A 20,747-nucleotide genomic window follows, 5' to 3' on the forward strand; every position below is an offset into this window, starting at 1 on the left:
ACTGTTCTAGGCAGCAGATATGCTACAGTTTGGTTAACCTTTCTTTGCGTTTATAGCCTTTTTATTGCTTGTGTTTATAGCCTTTTTATTCCTTGGGATGATTTCCCAAAGCCAAATTCCTATAAGTGACAAATTATGGGTATTTATGGTATTGGTCCACATTGATTTCTGTGTGTGTTGAATCACATTGCCATCAACCCCAGCAATGTAACATTGACTGTTACTTTTTTTTTTCTGAGATGGAGTCTTGCTCTGTCTCCCAGACTGGAGTGCAGTGGCATGATTTCAGCTCACTGCAACCTCTGCCTCTCAGGTTCAAGGGATTCTCCTGCCTCAGCCTTTCGAGTAGCTGGGATTACAGACATCTGCTACGACGCCTGGGTAATTTTCTGTATGTTTAGTAGAGACAGGGTTTCACCATGTTGGCCAGGCTGGTCTCCAACTCCTGACTTCAGGTGGTCCACCTGCCACAGCCTCCCAAAGTGCTGGGATTACAAGTGTGAGTCACTGCGCCCGGCTGACTTGTTATTCTACTTTCAAAAAGATGATCTCCAGAAAAATTTCCTGGGCCATTTTAAGAAAAATTATTGATTATAGGCAGCTGTTTTAAATTGACCAGAAAAGTGAGGAAGCCAGAGAAATTTGCTTGTACAAGTAATAAAAAAGAACTTGGTCCGTCTAATTTTGAGTTGGTATTTTATCAAGTGAAGTAGATTTAATGAGATGTCTATGTTTCTTCAGTCCCTCACCTAAGCCACAAGTTGTATACGTGTCACACACGCAAACCCCGGCAGGGTGTGTCAGCAACCATTCACAAGTAAGATGCCATGCTGCCAGCCCTTGTCTTCCAATAATTATGGTTGCCAATTACCAGACAACCAGACTGTTCTTTTTTTTTTTTTTCGAGATGGAGTCTCACTCTGTTGCCCAGGCTGGAGTGCAGTGGTGCAATCTAGGCTCACTGCAACATCTGTCTCCCGGGTTCAAGCGATTCTTCTGCCTCAGCCTCCCAAGTAGCTGAGACTACAGGCTTGCACCACCACGCCTGGCTAATTTTTGTATTTTTAGTAGAGACAGGGTTTCACCATATTGGCCAGACTGGTCTTGAACTCCTGACCTCGTGATCCACCCGCCTCGGCCTCCCAAAGTGCTGGGATTACAGGCGTGAGCCACTACGCCCAGCCAAGACTCTTCTTACATATGTTTATTTCCCCTCATAGAAGCAGCCAGCTGACTTATTTAGAGCAACCTGTCAGAGTGCGTGGGATCGTAGTCTACGAAGTGATGTCTTGTGTAGAGCAATGGTGTATTCCTGTCAAATTTCCTGCTGGCATTTCTTGGTGTTAGTGTTTTCTTATCCAAAAATAGGGCTTGCATGTCATTAAAACCTTCGTTGAAGCAATTAATAAAAGATTCTGGTAAGTTTCTGGAGACATTCTTTAATTATTCAAAACTCTTTGGGCACATTCTTCAAGTAGCAACCCACTTTGCTGTACCTTCATCCAGCCCCAATTCCTGTCTAATTCACAACCATGTCATGCTTGTTTCTTCCAAATGCCTTGTGGAAATCCAGCTATGATATGGCTCTAACAGTCTCCTTATCTCCCAGCCTAGACATCTGTCAAAGACAGAAAGGAGATGATTGTGGCCTGATTTAGTCTTAATGAAGCCATCTTAGCTTCTAGTGATCCTTGCTTCATTTCCTGAGTCCTTTTATTTATAACAGTCCATTTGGACATAGTCTTTTAGCAGTATATTTTAATTTCTTGAACTACACAAAAATTAATAGATTCTTTAGTTCATTGCCTGTTTATTTTCTAGATGGATTTTCTTTTGCTTTATCATGCTCTATAATGCATTCTTCATGGATTTTTGTATTGCTGAAAATTTGTATATGAATAATTTTATTTTTATTATACACCATTTTATTTTATTTTCTATTTATTATTATTATTATTTTTTGAGACGAAGTTTTGCTCTTGTTGCCCAGGCTGGAGCGCAATGGCACAATCTCGGCTTGTTGCAACCTCCGCCTCCTGGGTTCAAGCGATTCTCCTGCCTCAGCCTCCCGAGTAGCTGGGATTACAGGCGCCTGCTACCATGCCTGGCTGATTTTTATTTAACTAGTAGAGACAGGGTTTCACCACGTTGACCAGGCTGGTCTGGAACTTCTGACCTCAGGTGATCCACCCGCCTCGGCCTCCCAAAGTGCTGGGATTACAGGCGTGAGCCACCGTACCTGGCTCCTATTTTTTAAAATTTCTTTTCATAGAATACATTTCACATTATATGCCCAGTGTTCCATTATTGGAACGCTAAGCATGTGGAAGTTATTTATATCTTGTTCAAAGTCATTGCCAAGGTCTGATTTTGCAGTTCAAAAAATTGCAACCTCAGGCATAAATGGGTTAGTGATTCCCACGGTGGGAAAATAACAATTTATTACTTAGAATTTTATTTTTGTGGACAGATTATTTTAGATCAAGTAAAACACATTTGAGAATTAAGTCTCAGTTTAGAGTCTGTAATATTTTGATACATCAACAAGGGGGACCTAGTCCTTAAATGGAACTTCTCTATATTCAGAAGCTCTCCAAGCCTTTCTTTCTAGGATTTAGAAATTCATAATGTGAGAGATCAGCATCTCCTAATTTTAAAGTGTTCCTAGTGTATGTAACCATCAGTGGCGGGTATCTACTGAACAGTGAGGAAGTTTTCAAAAATTAAACACTGTCTGATTTTCTGCAGAGTTTTTATTCAGAATGTGCTTGGACTTCCCAGCCCCTTCTCAGCTTTCTTGTTTTTGGCAGATGCTTCAAGTAAAGCTTTCTTCTTCAGGTACCTACGCCATAGGGTCGTTGTGTAGAATCGGGAGTGTTAAATGATGCAAATAAGTGCTTCAAGACTGGCCCTTCTTATTATGTAAAATCACTTTGTGGGAAAGTGAAATGATTTGAGTGAAAAACTTGTATTTCTCAACAGTTACAGGAATAGAGACACTGTGCTTGGATGTTGCATTTCAGACCATGGCCTGTCCTTTTGGCTGGAAAGTGACTTGGGACTTAGCCCTCAATTCCACTCCACTGTCCTTTTTCCCTTTTGTGGTATGCACCTAAGGTTGCTCCTCGATCTGCCTATTTAAACCAAGCTGTGATTTACATGGGAACTGAGCATTTGCTTTGGGGAATATATGTATTCCCCCGGGCTGTTTGTTTGTTTGTTTGGTTGGTTTTTGCCCACTAGTGTCTACTGCGTGTGTGTCTCAGTATTACGGGAAGCTCTGCAGTTTTAAACTATATTTATTTAAGGGCAGTGAGTTTGCATGTGCCCTGGGTGTGTTTAGTTCTAACCCAGACTTCAGGCGGGGCATCCAGAGCGTTGTTGGAGCGCCTTTCTGATTGCACAAGGAAGGGAGGGCAGTGGGTGCCATAGTGCCTTTCTTTTGTGGGTACTCAGTGTATTCTCTGATCCGCTGTGTCAGTAGAGTGTTTGCTATAAATCCTTGCTAATGGAAGGGAGAAGGGTTTTAAGACATTTACAACTTTCATAATTTAGACCCATAAAACGACTACCGGCCAGGTGTGGTGACTCACACTTGCAATCCCAGCACTTTGGGAAGCCAAGATGGAAGGATTGCTGCCCCAGAAGTTCGAGACCAGCCTGGGCAACACAGTGAAACTCTGTCTCTACAAAAATTTTAAAAAATTCGCTGGGCGTGGTGGTACATGCCTGTGGTCCCAGCTACTCAGGAGGCTGAGGTGAGAGGATCACTTGAGCCTGGGAGTTGGAGGCTGCAGTGAACTGTGATCGTATCACTGCACTCCAGCTTGGGTGACAGAGCAAGACACTGTCTTCAAGACATATTAGTAGACCTCTTTATAGGTCTAGTAACAATTCTAGTACACATTTTGATAATTTGATAGGTTTTCTCCTGAGGCATCCTCAGTAGCTTAGTGATTTGCCCAGCAGCTTGATTGGCACTTTTGTGCTCAAACAGGTGAGAGGTTTGGGGAGACTTTGTGATTGCATCTAAAATGACTGAATCATAAAGTCGCTGGATGGTAGAGAGGGTGACGGCTTTAGAAATCATCATGTACAAGAGGGCCCTTGGCATGGGAGTTGAGACCAAGCACTCTGGCACCAGCCTGTCTGCATCTGGTCCCATGTCTGCCACTTACGAGCTGGGTGACTGTGGGCAAGTTAATCTCTTGTGTCTCAGTTTCCTCATCTGTAAAAAGGGGTCAGGGTAGTGTCAGTCTAATGGCGGTTGTGAGGATTAAATGAGTTAGAATTTATAAAGCTCTGAGAACAGTGCCTGCCATGGAGAAAGTGCTACATAAGTGCTGGCTAAATAAAATAATAATACTTACTGTGTTTTCACATTCCATGAATGAGAAACCTAAAATCCAGGAAAGAGGAAGTTAATTTTACAATACACTGAAAATGTCAAAAGTTAGGATTAGAACCAGGCCTCTCTTGGCTAGTGATTTTTCTCTTTGTCATGCTGCAGAATGACTCCAGTCTGGTGGTCAACCTGATAGCGCCTAAATAATTTTCCCTCCCTTTCAGCAATCTGCAGCAACAATGTGCTGTTCATAATCATTAATTTCTTTAGTAGACATTGTTTAATTAAATGCCTTATCAACCAGGCTGACATTTAAACTTTCTCATTTTCCCACAAGGGATTTCACTATTTTATTACATACTTTTTTCCTTGACATTTCACTATTGTAATTAATCATTAATTCTAGTTGAAGTATTCCAGGATAAGGTACCCTTTACACATCTGTTGTATTTTATAGTATCCTTTGGCTTATAATAATACTGCATAGTTTATTTCTTGAAGAATATTGAAACTGTTAGAAAATTGTGTGGTCTGCTTTTTAATGGCTTAATGGAAATTGCTTTTCTTTTCCCAACTTGAAGGAAGCCCTATCATTTCTAATTTACTGAATTTGGTAAGCTTTAGGAAATGGCTTCCTTTTTCATAAAGTTGTATAAGATGATGATGTTGGCCAGGCGTGGTGGCTCACGCCTGTGATCCCAGCACTTTGGGAGGCCGAGGTGGGTGGATCACCTGAGGTCGGGAGTTCGAGACCAGCCTGACCAACATGGAGAAACCCCGTCTCTACTAAAAATACAAAATTAGACAGGCTTGGTGGCGCATGCCTGTAATCCCAGCTACTCGGGAGGCTGAGGCAGGAGAATTGCTTGAACCTGGGAGGCGGAGGTTGCAGTGAGCTGAGATCGCGCCATTGCACTCCAGCCTGGGCAACAAGAGCAAAACTCCATCTCAAAAAAAAGAAGATGATGTTATTCATTCCATAATAGATGTCTGTGGATGATAACACAGGATGCAGGTAACATTTACATTTTGGCATGTATTTCTTAAGTATCATTTTCAGAATGTCCAAAACTTCAGCAGAAAATGGTAGAGGGCAGGAGAACTTTTGACTAAAAACTTCCTTAATTTTTTTTTTTGAGATGGAGTCTCGCTCTGTCACCCAGGCTGGAGTGCAGTGGCGCGATCTAGGCTCACTGCAAGCTCCGCCTCCCGGGTTCACGCCATTCTTCTGCCTCAGCCTCCCGAGTAGCTGGGTCTACAGGCACCCGCCACCACGCCCGGCTAATTTTTTGTACTTTTTTAGTAGAGACGGGGTTTCACTGTTTAGCCAGGATGGTCTCGATCTCCTGACCTCGTGATCCGTTCGCCTCGTCCTCCCAAAGTGCTGAGATTACAGGCATGAGCCACCGCGCCCGGCCAAAAGTTACTTATTAAATAATGAGGCTGTTGGGAATATGCTGACTAGATTTGGAAACAAACAATAATTCTTTACAGTTTATTAAAGAAAATACCCATTGGTGTTTATTTCTTTTACATAGCTTTCCAGACACATTTTTATTTATTAAGTCCTGTCATTTTCTCCTGAACTCAAGGAGGCAAGTTATCTCTCTGATAAGGACCTCAGCAATCAGCTGAATTACCTGCCAGAGGCTATAAAGGGGCTTGTCTGAGCCAGAAATTCACAGCAGTGTCTGCCAGTGAGCCCCAGGACTTTGCTTCTCGTTTCCAACCTTAAGTTGATCCTGCTGTCTTTGTAGAGGTAACATCTACTTGCTCCTATATCTGCACCTGAAAAGCATCTCAACATAGCCCAAAACTGGAAGCAACCACAATGTTTTTCTGTAGGGGAATGGATAAACTGTGGTATATCCATACAGATGGGATATTATTAAGCAATACAAAGACATGAGCTAGCAAGCTACAAAATTCATGGAGGCCAGGCGCGGTGGCTCATACTGTAATCCCGGTACTTTGGGAGGCTGAGGTGGGAGGATCCCTTGAGCCCAGGAGTTCGAGATGAGCCTAGGCTGTATAGCAAGACCCCTCCCTCTCTAGAAATAATTTAAAAACTTAGCCATGGCTGGGCACTGTGGGCCATGCCTGTAATCCCAGCATTTTGGAAGGCTGAGGAGGGCGGATCACTTAAGGCCAGGAGTTAGAAACCAGCCTGGCCAACACAGTGAAACCCTGTCTCTACTAAAAATAGAAAAGATTAGCTGGGCACGGTGGCACATGCCTGTAATCCCAGGTACTAAGGAGGCCAAGGCATGAGAATTGCTTGAACCCAGGAGGCCAAGATTGCAGTGAGCTGAGATTGCACCACTGCACTCCAGCCTAGGTGACAGAGCCAGACTCCATCTCAATCTCAACCCTCCCTGCTCCGCTCCCCCTCCCCCTTTCCCCCTCCCCCCACAAACTTAGGTATGGTGGTGTGCACCTATAGTCCCAGCTACTCGGGAGTCTGAGGCTGGAGGATTACTGAGCCCAAGAATTTGAGGCAGCTGTGCACTATTTCAGGCAGACCAAAAGCTGCCTCTCACCTGCGTATTTAATTTTCTTTTCTCTATTTTCGCACTTCTATTAGTCGGATCCGCTATTGGCACACCTTTCAGTACATGGTGGATGCTTAGTAAATACCACTGGATGCACAAACGTGAGTCCTACCCACACCATGCCATCTGCCATCACTGCTATTTAAGAACCTTTTTTCAGGGACTAGTTGATGTCTCAGTTCCTCAGTGAGGTGGCATCCTTATTTCTGAGGCTTTTAAAATTCGTTTAATACCTATTGTCAGAAGTAAACATGTTGCCTTGAACAGTCATCTCTGAGTTACCTGTTCTCTTGCCTGATAGATTATGCATCTCATAAAGACAAAACGATATTGTGCCACATTATTACTTTGTGTCCTATAGGGTGTGAAATGTAGTTGCTGAAACATAATAGGCCCTCATAAATGTTTGTTAATGGTGATGATCTCGATTATGGTGACACTTGAATGATAGTATACTTTGAACATTGGGTTTGTTATTTTCAAAGGCATTGAGTAAGCAAAGCCAGTAATTCACTGCATCCTCATTATGGGCCAGGCAAGGGTTGGGTGCTTTCTACAAATATTTGGAGAGGCTGACTGGTGTCGATTAGAGAAGACTTTCCTTAGTGAGTGGAAGAGAATGATGTGTGTTAAGTCGAGTGAGGTTGGCTGCAGACTAAAAAATGCGCCTGTTTACATTGCAGTGACCTTGTTAGTGTGGGAATTCAGAGGGGCTGGAAGCTGGTGGCTATCTTCCTTACATTTAATTCACCCTGACCTTTTCCTTAGAGGTAGAATGAGGGGTGAGCTAAAGTTTAAAGTTTGTACTCTCAGAATCATTGAGAAATTGACATCATTAGAATGGGAATGATTGGAGATTTTTTTCTGGTTTCCTGATTTTTCTGGAGATCAAAAAGCCTTCTCTTCTGGTAATTTTCACCTCCACTTCCATTCTACACATTTTTGTCTTTGCATATCTGTTTAATGGAGGATATGTGCTCTACCGAATCAGTGAAAGTGCAAAGCCAAAGTATTGACTTAGATTGTTTTTAGAACAAGGTTGGAGTAGAAATTAAAAATTGATTGGAAAAGGCATGCCACTTTTTCTTGCGAGGAGCTGCTGAAAACAGGCACTCACGACCTTTGGCACATGTGCAAAACATGGCAGAGTGTCCCTCTTTTCTTGGGGAAGTTACCTAACCAAGTAAGTGCTTGGCTTGTGTCTGGTGGTTTTACAACTGTCATTTTAGCTAATCTTTACGGAGACCCTCAGAAGTGGAGCAGGAGCAGTGCTTCTCAGACCAGAGCCTGCATCAGAATCACCTGGAATGCAACCTTCACCCCCCCCCCCTCCCCTTTGTGATTCAGTGGGGCTGAGCTGGGCTGAGATGAAGAATTGTATTTCTAATGAGCTCGCAGGTGATGTGGATGCTGATTTGTGGGCACATTTTAAGAAGCACTGCAGTAGAGAGTAGGCTTTCTCTCCATCTTTTAGGTACGGAGAATGACTTCTGGGATGGATAAGTGACTGGCCTGATGTTCTCACAGTTCCTAAGTTGAGACTAGAGCTGTCTCTAGCACTTACGCAAGAAAAGTGATGTCAGGCTCCCAGGTAAGGGAGACCCCTGCCCTCGGGACTCCCTTGGAAAAGGCTTGGAAAAGAGGAGAAAGGCCTGTAAAGCCTGTGAAGTAGAAGCTAAATGTAAACAACACCCCAGGGAAGATGAAGTGAGTATTTTTTTCCTAAACCATTGGATCAGGAAAGTCTTTCTGGGTGAGGTGACACTGGGACTGGCTAGAGAAGTGTTTTTTTTCTTTTGAATGTAAGTGTTTTATTTTTCTCTCCCAGTCTTTTATCTTTTTAAAATTGAGATTCATAGTTGTATATATTTTTGAGGTACATGTGATATTTTGATACATGTATACAATGTGTAATGATCAAGTCAGGGTAATTGGGATAGCCATTGTCTTTTCTTTGTGTTGGGGACATTCCAATTCTCTTCTAGCTCTTTTGAAATAGATAACACATTATTGTTAACTATAATTTCCCTGCTGTATTTTTGTACCCATTAGCCAACTCAAAGATGGTGTTTTAGCAGGAAGAAACAGAACAGGCTGGGCACAGTGGTTCATGCCTGTACTCCCAGCACTTCGGGAGGCCAAGGTGAGCAGATCCCTAAAGTCTGGGAGTTCAAGACCAGCCTGGCTAACATAACCAGACTCTTTCACTACAAAAATTAAAAACCTACGTGGGCATGGTAGCAGGTGCCTGCAGCCCAGCTATTCAGGAGGCTGAACGGGGGAGGAACGCTTGAGCCCAGGAGTTAGAGGTTACAGTGAGCAGTGAGCTGAGATCGCGCCACTGCACTGCAGCCTGGGTGACAGAGCGAGACCCTGCCTCAAAGAAACAGAACGGCAAAAGCTTAGTGCCAGGAAGATACAAGAGTGTTGAACAGCAGAGTTCAGCTGGATTAGAAGATGGTTTAGTTGAAAGGAGAGACATCATGGCAGATGGTTGAAATGCCTTGCTGGGAATTTTTACATTTAACTCGGTTTTGATTGGACTCAGGTGTTTGAGTAGAAAAGGGATATGGGTAGAACTGGACATTTGAAATAACCCCTATGAAAATGATAAAGATGAGAAAATTTCTCTTTTGCTCTGAGTTTTCCTTATTTTCCAGAGACTTGTCAGGGTTATTTAAGATAACCTATTTAATTAAAAAAATTGTTAAAAAATATGGTTGCCAAGAAGGAACAGTGAAGCGAGAATCTTGAGCTCTGCAGTTAATTCTCATTTCCTTGCTTTGTTGTTGAAATAGGGGTACCCTGCTCGTAGACAGTTAATAGCCTGGTCTCCTTTTTCCAAATGATCAAACAGGCCGAACAGTTCCTCCTCTGTTTGAAGTGTCTGGTTGATGTAAAACAGTTGATCTGCAGTTGTTTCTTTTGCTCACAGACTTTTTGGAAATAAGCAAATCCATCCACACAGATAGCTGTTTTTGAACTTTCTCAAAACCCCTTACCTAACCCCTTGTGAGAAGTCAAACTGAGCTGCTTTGCTTTTGAGGAGGGCCGGGCTGGCAGCTTTTCTAGTTTATCTCCACCCCAGCCTCCCCTGGGGCCAGCTCCTGGCGTGTGGCTCCCCCGGGACAGAGGCACAAGGTGGCTTTGTGGCAGCTTCCGGCTCATAAGAGCAGAGCCAGATGCACGGAGCTGTTGGAGATTGATCACACGCCCTTTGCCCTTTGCTCTTTGCTCTCCTGGGTGTCTGACACTTGATTTTTTGCCCTCACTCAATGGCACATCCACACTTCTTTGCTTTCAACATGGGGCACAGAAGTGGTTGGAGGACCCAGAACCCAGCCCTTTGGCTTCCTGCAGCTCTGCCACTTGGACTTCTTCTTTGAATAACACGTTTCTGTGAGTTTTTCTTAACCTGGAATTTTTCAGTTGCTTGTATTTAAAACTGGAAGAGGGGAAACAAACTCTTGCAAAAAGTTTCTCTTCATCTACCCGGCTTGATTGAAAGTAGTTCCTCTTCACTGTGATTTCATCTCACTCGATTTATGCTCTCAGTGGGGCAGGAGTAGTTGGTAGGAGTGTGTGCTTTTAGTAGATTAAATTAAAAATTGTTTAATTACTTCTTAATGAAACATAGTCTTCTTAATTACTTTTTTTTTTCTTTTTTAAGAGATAGGGTCTTGCTTTGTTGCCCGGATTGGAGTGCAGTGGTACAATCATAGCTCACCACAGCCACAAATTTCTGGTCTCAAGTGATCCTCTTGCCTCAGCACTGCAAGTAGCTGGGACTGCAGGTGCTTACCACCATGCCTGGGTAGTTTTTAAATTTTTTGTGGAGACGGGGTTTTGCTATGTTGCCTAGACTGATCTCAAACTACTGGCCTCAAGTGATCCTCCTGCCTCAGCCTCCCAAAATGTTGGGATTACAGGCATGAGACACTGCCCCTGGCCCAAATTACTTCTTAATTAAACATATAGGTATATGGTACAAAATTAAAAAGGTCCAAAAGAGCATCTGATGAAAAGCCAGTCCCCAGCCTGCCTTGCTTTTGTCCCAGGCCAGGCTGGCCGCCTCACTGGAGTCAGCTCTCCTTCCAGTTACCTCCCTCTCCTTCCAGAGAGGCTCTTTGTGTTCACAGGAATATTCACGGACACATAGACATTTTTAGATTTATGGAGGTGTAATCACAAATCGTAACTTTGACCTGTTTCAGGTGTACAATTCAAAGGTTTTTAGTCAGTTTACAGAGTTGGGTGACCATCACCACGGTCCAGTTTCAGAACATTTCTATCTCCCCAAAAAGACCACAATTCTTTGTGCCCTTTGCTGTTGATCGAGCTCCGAATCCCAGCCCCAGGCAACTACTTTCTGGATATTTATCCTCCTGATAAAGCCTTGGCTGGATATTACATTTAATAGGATCATAGGTTTATGGTGTCTTTTGCATGTGGCTCTTGTCACTCAGCAAAATGTTTGCGAGGTCCATCTATGTGGCGTGTGTCAGCATTTTGCATCTTTTTGTGGCAGAACAATATTCCCTGGTATGGATAGATCGCATTTGGTTTATTCACTCACCAGTTGATGACTATTTGGATTATTGGGTTATCCACTTGTTGGCCCTTTTTTGGCTGTGGACATCTGCATGTACTTCTGTGCAGACATATGTTTTCATTTGTCCTGGGAAGATACCTAGGAGTGGAATTGCGGGGTCACCAGGAGAAGGGTTTGCTGGGTTTCATGCCAAACTTATGATTACAATTTTAAGAAACTGCCAAAATGCTTTTTAAAGTGTTTGCAGCATTTTATATTCCTTCCAGCAACCAGCAGTATATGAGTTTCAGATTTTTCACATTCTTGAGAGCTTATTTGGAAGTCCTAGCAGGGGGGAGCACAGCTACTCGTATACCCTTGACCGAAAACCGGTCCTCCTCTATCGGGGATGGTCGTCCTCTTCTGCCAAGCACACAGTTTTGGAAGGGACACACATGGAGTGGTGAGGGAGGAAAGGAACACCCGCCTAGCCAGCCAGGTTAGCTAGATCAACCCTGGCAATCACCCCTAGCCCAATGAACCCTGACGATCAATGGGGTGACAGATGTCACAGCCAGATGGCCCTCACATCCAGATTCTCCACATTCTTGATAACACTTGTTATTGTCTGTCTTTTTTGTTATAACCATTACAGTGGGTGTGAAATATCTTATTGTGTGTATAATTTGCATTTCCTAATGATTAATGATGTTGAACATCTTTTCATGTGCTTGACCATCTTCATGTTTTTGCAGATTTAAAATCTTCCTATTATCAGTTTTAAAACATGAGGTAATAGGTAACTTACAGTGCCTCTCACCATTTCTACTCCTTTCCCTGCCAGTTTTTTAGCTGCATTATTTCTACATTGTCAGGCATTATATAATATTCTGTGGCTGTTACAATTATTTTTTTCTTTCTCTTAAAGTATAAATGGTTGTAAAGTTTACTAATAATTGTTTTTCATTCTTTCACCATTTACCTTTTGTTTTGCTGAAGTTTATCCTTTAGTAGTTTTTTTGAGAAGGGATTGGCTAACATTCTTCTGAATTCTCACCTGTTTAAAATGTTTGGCTATTGGCTGCATGTGGTGGCTTATGCCTGTAGTCCCAGCACTTTGGAGGCCAAGGCAGAAAGATTGCTTGAGGCTAGGAGTGCAAGACTAGCCTGGGCAACATAGCAAGACTTTGTGCATACTAACTGGTGGTGGTGGTGGTGCATATTTGCAGTCTCAGCTACTTGGGAGGCTGAGGCAGGAGGATCGCTTGAGCCCAGGAGCTCGAGGTTACAGTGAGCTGTGATCATGCCACTGCTCTCTAGCCCAGGTGACAGAGTGAGACCCTATCTAAAAAAAAAATAGCAAAACAATTTGGCTATTATAGTTGAATGAAAATTTGCTTGTGATGAAAGTTTTGATTCTGTTACAATTCTTTGAGGATGTTTTTGGCATTTAAGCCTTGGATGTTGCTGTGGACAATTCTAAAATTTTGTCCCCTCATACTTTATTTGAACTTTTTGCCTAGCTGCCCAAATGATTCCTTCCTAAAGTTTGAAGACCAGCTATGACTCAGGAAATGAGTTGTCAAATTATCTTTGTGGTGATCATTTTATGGTAGTTATCCCTGGAATAGGATATCTTCATTTATTATGCACAAGTATCTTTAATTTCTAAAATGTTTTCCTGAATTATGCCTTAAGCTTTTTTTTTCCTGTTCTATTCTTTGATTTTTGTTTCTTTAGGGATACCGATTGTGGGTATGTTGGATCATCTCTCTCTGTCTTCCATATCTATCAGTTCTCTGTGTTTTTTTTAGACAGAGTCTCACTCTGTCACCCAGGCTGGAGTACAGTGGCGTGATCTCGGCTCACTGCAAGCTCCACCTCCCGGGTTCATGCCATTCTCTTGCCTTAGCTTCCTGAGTAGCTGGGACTTCAGGTGCCCACCACCATGCCCGGCTAATTTTTTTGTATTTTTAGTAGAGACGGGGTTTCACTGTGTTAGCCAGGGTGGTCTCGATCTCCTGACCTTGTGATCCACCTGCCTTGGCCTCCCAAAGTGCTGGGATTACAGGTGTGAGCCACCGTGCCCAGCCAGTTCTCTGTGTTTTAAATCTATTGCTTGCTTTTCTCAGTCTTTCCCATTAGGTCCTTCATATTTTCACCAGTGCATATTTCCTTTTAGCTGCTTCCCATTTGGCCTGTATTTTGGTGATATTTTCATTCTTCCATTTTGTCCTCCTAAGGTCTGCCACCCTTATTCTTTATTTCCTGCTAATGTCTTCCCATAGCTTCCCTGAACTCTTGTAAATCCTTTTATGTTTTTGTCTATGGAATCAGTTATTTCATGAAGTTTTATTAATTTATAACTATGTTTGGACAAAGCTTTAATCTGTTGCATGTAACATTTTCTTTGGATGTTCATCTGTCATTTTTCTTTTTTCTTGCAGCATCTTTGTAAAGGTTTTTTTGTTTGTTTGTTTTTTGGTTAGTAGGTATGAAGTAGCTCTTTGCAGGAGCCTCAGTGGGCCAGCAGACAGAGCCGTGTTCCATACTAATAGGAATTTTCATGACTTGAGGTTGTGTGTGTGTGTGTGTGTGTGTGTGTGTGTGTGTGTGTGATCCTTTCAACCTTTGCTATTCCCTTATTTGCTGAAACTTTGGTAGTCAACCTTGGTGGTATGTCTAATGCAGTCTGTCTTTTTCATCTTGCCTCAGCGACAGACTGCTTCCTACAAATATGGCTTGCCTGTATGGTTTCTCATTTCATATCAATCTCACTATGTCCAGGGAAGCTGTTACTGTGAATCTGCACACCTGTCCCTGTTATTCCAAGAAAGTTATGACTGGTTTGCTGCTTATTTGAAGCTCCGCCATTTTTATCTGAGATCTGTAGCCATGAGCAGCCTCTCCAAGCATTTTCCTTCCCTTCTTTCTGACCTTCACTGCAGCTTGGCACATTTTTGTTACATTTTCTGGTTTGGGGCTACAGATGTCTCCCAGTTTCCTCAGGGATGGAATTTGTGTTTTTTAGTTTACTGCTTATTGCTTTTGGATGAATTGCAAGAGGAAGTCCTTATAAGTCAGGATACTAAGACAAGACAACTCTAGTTTTTTACCTTTTCTCTGGCGGTTAAAAATCTTGTTACTTCTTTGTTGTTACTTTTTTAAAGTAATTTCTCAAATAGAGCTAACTAATAAAGTAGTTTTGCAAGCAGCTTTTAACTTTAAGGTCTGGAATAATCACTTTAGTAATAAGGTATCACAAGGAAAGAAATAGTCTATATTTTGACTATTCCTCAAGAATTTCAGAAGTCAGGAAGTTAATGGAGATAAATTCAGAATAGAGCATAGGTTAATATTTATACACTAGAGGCCTTTCGGTTTGTTGGATTTGTTTATCTGGAAGACGGCATTTTATTACTGGGCTTACCAGTTTTGCTATCAAGCATCAACTGTGGTTACCCATTTATGACTTGCCAGCGTTCCTGAGATGTTCCCTTAGCGTTCTTAGGATGCTCAACTCAAAACTCTTGGCTGGATTTATGATTGAATTAAACAGACTTTTCCATGTACAGCAACAGTCTGCATGCAAGTATGATAACAGAGAGAAAGTATGACATACTTTGTTCAAGCATCAGTATCCAGAAGTAGAAATAACCTAGACATGAGATCATTTGAGAACTAAAGAGAAAGGAAGTTAAGCTACCAAGTATCTGTTAATGACTAACTCAATTAAATTTTTAAATGCCAAGGTGCTAAAAATTAGAATATATATTTATCTGGGGATTTTGGGCAAGAGGGAGAGAAAGGATTCAGTTCAGAGGATGAGGAGTCTTGCTTTTTGCTTAGGTAGGACAAGGAGAAGATATCTGCAGGGAGGGTCTGAGCACCTTTAGGCTGGGGTGAGGTGGGAGAGTAGAGCCCTTCCTTCCTGCCGTCATCGGCTCCCTGGATGGGCATCAACACCATAGCCAGGTCCATGCCTGCTTGACTCAGAGTGACAAGCCCAGCTATAGCCCAGTGTGAATTACCGTGCACAGGGCCTGTCCCTGCTGAGCAAGTGCAGGGCAGAAGGGGTGGGGTGGGGGAGGGGCCACACCAAAGTACGAAAAGTGCATGGAGGGGCTGGGAATGGGGAAGGCCAACTTGACTGATGGCATAGTTTTCTCTGGAGATTGCATTTATTTTTAACCATGAGACAGTGAACAGAAAACATATATGGAATAGAAGTAATTTTGCCTGGCTTGTGAAGATTATTTTGGACACAACTGACTTCATAATGAATATACTGCTCCCCGACCACCACCTCCACACACACACACACACACACACACACACACACACACACACACACACACACACACACACACTTTGATTCATTGGCCCAGTATTGAGGATCTCTCTTCCACTTCGGTGAAGGGCACTAGGCTGGGATTCTAGATTAACCAGGCTGGTCTCATCTCTCAAGGCTAATGAGTGAATGAACCAAAGCAGAGATCACACAACCAAACAGATTAGAAACAGATGCTTAGAAAAAGCTTATTTGAGGCAGAAGTGAGAAAGGCACTTATATAACAGACCTGTGGAATCAGGCATTCAAAAAAGAAGGGGCCAGCGTGGTGGCTAACTCCTGTAATCCCAGCACTTGGATCATTTGAAGTCAGGAGTTCAAGACCAGCCTAGCCAACATGGTGAAACCCCATCTCTACTGGGGAGAAAAAAAAAAAAAAAAGCCGGGCATGGTGGTGGGCATCTGTAATCCCAGCTACTGGGGAGGTTGAGGCAGGAGAATCGCTTGAACCTGGAAGGCAGAGGTTGCAGTGAGCCGAGATTGCGCCATTGCACTCCAGCCTGGGTGACAGAACAAGACTCCATCTCAAAAAAAAAAAAAAAGCAGTTCTCAGATCTTCACTCCATATGTCATCTGGTAACACTGGGGTTCTGAGACAGACAGTGTTAGCTCCAGAAGCATTGCCTGTCTTAGAACCCCTATGTTACCAGACGACATAAGGAGTGAATAAAATCTTCAAAAGGCTTTGATGGACCGTAGGTGAGGAAGGTGAGTGTGGGAGAAGTCAGGAGTAAATGGTGTTTCCTAGACAGTGATCAGGTGTTTCCTAGACATGTTCGATGGAAGGACACGCCCTTTTAGGCCCTGGTGATTTGAGTCGCTGTGGATGTGATCCCATAGTTTCTGATTTGCTGACCTCAGGGCCAGCCCTTGTGTCTATGGTGACAGCATTAGAGGTTTCATTGCAGAGGAAGTAAGGAATTCATTAGGAAACTTCTGGGGACCTACTCTTAAGGAAAAGGCTGAGAATGAGTTAGGGAAGAAAACTCTACAAAATGAGATTTGGAAACCGGATGGTTTTCCTGAAGAGAAGGCTTTAACACTTTCCTGAGTTTTGTTTGTTTGTTTTTGTATTTGAGACAGAGTCTTGCTCTGTCACCCAGGCTGGAGTGCAGTGGCACGATCTCGGCTCACTGTAAGCTCCGCCTCCCGGGTTCACGCCATTCTCCTGCCTCAGCCTCCCGAGTAGCTGGGACTATAGGCGCCCACCACCATGCCCGGCTAATTTTTTGTATTTTTAGTAGAGACAGGGTTTCGCCGTGTTGTCCAGGATGGTCTCGATCTCCTGACCTCGTGATCCACCCGCCTTGGCCTCCCAAAGTGCTGGGATTACAGGCGTGAGCCACCGCGCCCAGCCAACTTTCCTGAGTTTTAAAGCAGTGGTAGAAGTTTCCAGGTGAAGAAAGAGGGCAAAGTGCTGAGCCACAGTGAGCCACGTGTGGAGACCTGGAGGCAGACAGAGGCAGCGGGAGGGGAGGGAGAAGCTGAGGGATCAGGAGACAGACTATCTGGGGAGGAAAGATTTTTTTTTTTTTTTTTTTTTTTTAAGGAAAATAACTTTGTTGGCTGGGCACGGTGGGTCACGCCTGTAATCCCAGCACTTTGGGAGGCTGAGGCGGGTGGATTACTTGAGGTCAGGAGTTCAAGACCAGCCTAGCCAACATGGTGAAACCCTGTCTCTACTAAAAATACAACAATTAGCTGGGTGTGGTGGTGTGCGCCTGTGATCCCAGCTACTCGGGATGCTGAGGCAGGAGAATCGCTTGAACCTGGGAGACAGAGGTTGCAGTGAGCCAAGATGTTGCTATTGCACTCCAGCCTGGGCAATAGAGTAAAACTGTGTCTCAAAAAAAAAAAAAAAAAAAAAAAAAAAAAAAAAGAAAAAGCCGGGGGTGGTGGTGCACGCCTGTAATCCCAGCTACCCGGGAGGCTGAGGCAGGAGAATTGCTTGAACCTGGGAGGTGGAGGTTGCAGTGAGCCGAGATTGCGCCACTGCACTCCAGCCTAGGTAACAGAGTTTGAGATTCCATTGCAAATAATAATAATAATCATAATAATAATAGTAAAATAAAATTAATAAAAAATAAAAAAAACTTTGTTGATACTATAGTACAATGTATAGAATGGTAGAATGGCTTCTTGGGAAAGGGGGAATAGTTGGTGGGGTGGGTGGCTGGAAAGAAATGAAGGGTGACTTTTTCTCAAATGTGAGTGAGACGCAGCTCACAGTTCCATTCCTTGCACCCCAGATAGCTCTGTGGTGCCCCTTCTGTGGCCCCTTTGTCCAGAAGTGCCCCCTGGGGGTCTCTTTTTCCCATTTCTTCTTTCTCCATGACCCTCACCATTGGGCCTGATGGTTCATTTTGCTTTTTTGGTTATACATTCACCTCCTTTCATTGATTCTAATGGCTTTCACCCTGAACCCATAGCCCAGACCCAGCCTGGACAGGACAGCTCCCAGACAGGACAACCCACAGGATGTCCTTTTATAGCCCCAGGGAGCATTCCAAAGCACACTCACACCTCCCCCTCCTACTTCCTCCCTTCTGCCCTGATTTCAAACTTTCTCATCAGTGTTGGACTTTCTTTTTCGTTTTTCTATCTTTTCTTTTTTTTTGAGACAGAGTCTCGCTCTGTCGCCCAGGCTGGAGTGCGGTGGCGCGATCTTGGCTCACTGCAACCTCCGCCTTCCGGGTTCACGCCATTCTCCTGCCTCAGCCTCCCGAGTAGCTGGGACTACAGGCGCCCGCCACCACGCCTGGCTAATTTTCTGTATTTTTAGTAGAGACGGGGTTTCACCATGTTAGCCAGGATAGTCTCCATCTCCTGACCTCGTGATCTGCCCGCCTCAGCCTCCCAAAGTACTGGGATTACAGGCGTGAGCCACCGCACCCAGCCCAGTGTTGGACCTTTACCTCCTCTTGGTAGCTAACCATTTTTAACATTGGGTTAGTTTTTCCACAGAAGTAGATTTTATAGCATCACCTTTTGATTTCCATTGCTGCTGTCCAGATTGGCACTTCAAGCATGAATTGTTACAGGTGATTTGTAACTGGATGCCCCAGCCCCTGCCCTCCCAACCCTCTTTCTTTAGTTATATATAGTACCATCCTCAGGCTCATTTTTCTGAAATTGTTGTTGTTGTGTTGTTACTCTTCCCTCAGTGGCTCCTGCTGCCTGCAGGGTAAAGACCATATTTTTCAGCCAGGCATTTGAAGTCCTCTAAAGGAGGGGTCCCCAGATCCTGGGCCGTGGACCAGTGGTCCGTGGCCTTTCAGGAACTGGGCCGCACAGCAGGAGGTGAGCGGCAGGCGAGCATCACCACCTGAGCTCCGCCTCCTGTCAGATCAGCTGCAAGCATTAGATTCTCATAGGAGCACAGACCCTGTTGGGAACTGCGCATGCGAGGGATCTAGATTGTGCGCTCCTTATGAGAATCTAATGCCTGATGATCTGAGGTGGAACCATTTCATCCCGCAACCATTGCCTCTACTTTGTCTGTGGAAAAACTGTCTTCCACAAAACAAGTCCCTGGTGCCACAAAGGTTGGGGACCGCTGCTCTAGCACCTGACTTCAAATCATTTCTAAAATACATCTTGAACTCTCTGGCTCTGATTCTCACTCTTTTTTGCCTGTGCCATCGTGTTTCTGTCCCGTAACTCTGTGGATGCCATTCCACTTCCCAGGAGTGCCTTTTCCTTGTCTGTCTCCTGTCTCTTTCCAAGTATTTTCCAACATTTGAGACCAACTTGAGTTCAATTCTCACCTTCTCCATGATGGAAGGCTTCCCTCTCTTTTAACCACTTCATCTCACCTGGAAATCTCGTTCCCTTATGTCCTTCTGACACTAAATATGCAGCCACATATAAATATACTGGCTGAGTGGTCCAGTCGTTAAGCAGCCAGTATTGACCTCCACTCCGTGTGAGGCATTGTGCCTAGGTAGGCGCTGAGCTGCAAAGGACATTCGAGATTGGGTTCCTGCTTTAAGGGCATCACAGTGCCTTCTCCACACACGTGGGCTCAACCACCATGATGTGGCTTTGACAGCCACGAGCACAGAGGGGATAACACATGTGCTCTGCACCAGATGCCAGGATGTGACATTTGTTTTCGTTTTTGAGATGGAGTTTCACGCTTGTCCCCCAGGCTGGAGTGCAGTGGTGCAATGTTGGCTCACTGCAACCTCCACCTCCTGGCTTCAAGCGATTCTCCTGCCTCAGCCTCCCAAGTAGCCAGGACTACAGGTACATGCCACCACACCTGGCTAATTTTTGTGTTTTTAGTAGAGGTGGGGTTTCACTATGTTGGCCAGGCTGGTCTCGAACTCCTGACCTCAGGTGATTCACCCACCTTGGCCTCCGAAAGTGCTGGGATTACAGGCGTGAGCCACCGTGCCTGGCTGGGATGTGACATTTGAACTGAATTTTAAAGCAGTGGTAGAAGTTTCCAGGTGAAGAAAGAGGGCAAAGCACTCAGCCACAGCAAGCCACGCATGTGGAGACCTGGAGCCAGACAGAGGCAGCGAGAGGGGAGGGAGAAGCTGAGGGTGTCATTAGACAAGAGTAGACTATCTGGGGAGGAAAGATGATTGTTTTTAGGAAAATAACTGTTGATAGTATAGTATAGTGTGTAGAATGGCTTCTTGGGAAAGGGGAAATAGTTGGGGGGGTGGGTGGCTGGAAAGAAATGAATTATTAGGTGGTTATTGTAATAGAAATAGACACTAGAAACCAAGAAAAATGACCCTACTCTCTGTTGCCTCTGTATGAGTGTATGTCTGCGAGTGTATGTCTATTTCCTCAACCAGATTATTAGCCCGAGCTCTGCAGTGCGCGTTTTACCTGTTTATCTTTAGAATACCCACAGTACTTAGCATGTAACTATGTCCATAAAGGTAATTAATGGATGCTAATGATATGGTTTAGGCACTGTTTATCATCTTCCCACCAGACTTCAATGTGTAA

At 44.0% G+C, this 20,747-nt stretch overlaps 1 protein-coding gene, 1 non-coding gene and 1 pseudogene across 4 annotated transcripts in view, besides 1 other annotated feature; 2 read left to right on the forward strand and 1 right to left on the reverse strand.

Moving 5' to 3' along the window:
- FARP1 (FERM, ARH/RhoGEF and pleckstrin domain protein 1) overlaps positions 1 to 20,747 on the forward strand; it is a 312,588-nt gene that overhangs the window by 49,583 nt on the left and 242,258 nt on the right. The window lies entirely within an intron of this gene.
- Positions 9,924 to 10,218: an enhancer, noted in NCBI's record as "tiled region #10209; HepG2 Activating DNase matched - State 5:Enh". NCBI's record gives its function as "activates a minimal TATA promoter and a strong SV40 promoter by Sharpr-MPRA in HepG2 cells {active_cell/tissue: HepG2}" and the evidence as "EXISTENCE:reporter gene assay evidence [ECO:0000049][PMID:27701403]".
- On the reverse strand, positions 11,664 to 12,021 carry RN7SKP8 (RN7SK pseudogene 8; annotated as a pseudogene).
- MIR3170 (microRNA 3170) lies at positions 16,353 to 16,429 on the forward strand. Its single transcript, NR_036129.1, has one exon. It is a non-coding gene; the product is annotated as a microRNA 3170 (primary transcript).

This window comes from Homo sapiens, chromosome 13 (assembly GCF_000001405.40).
Source record: "Homo sapiens chromosome 13, GRCh38.p14 Primary Assembly".
NCBI classification, from domain to species: Eukaryota; Metazoa; Chordata; class Mammalia; order Primates; family Hominidae; genus Homo; species Homo sapiens.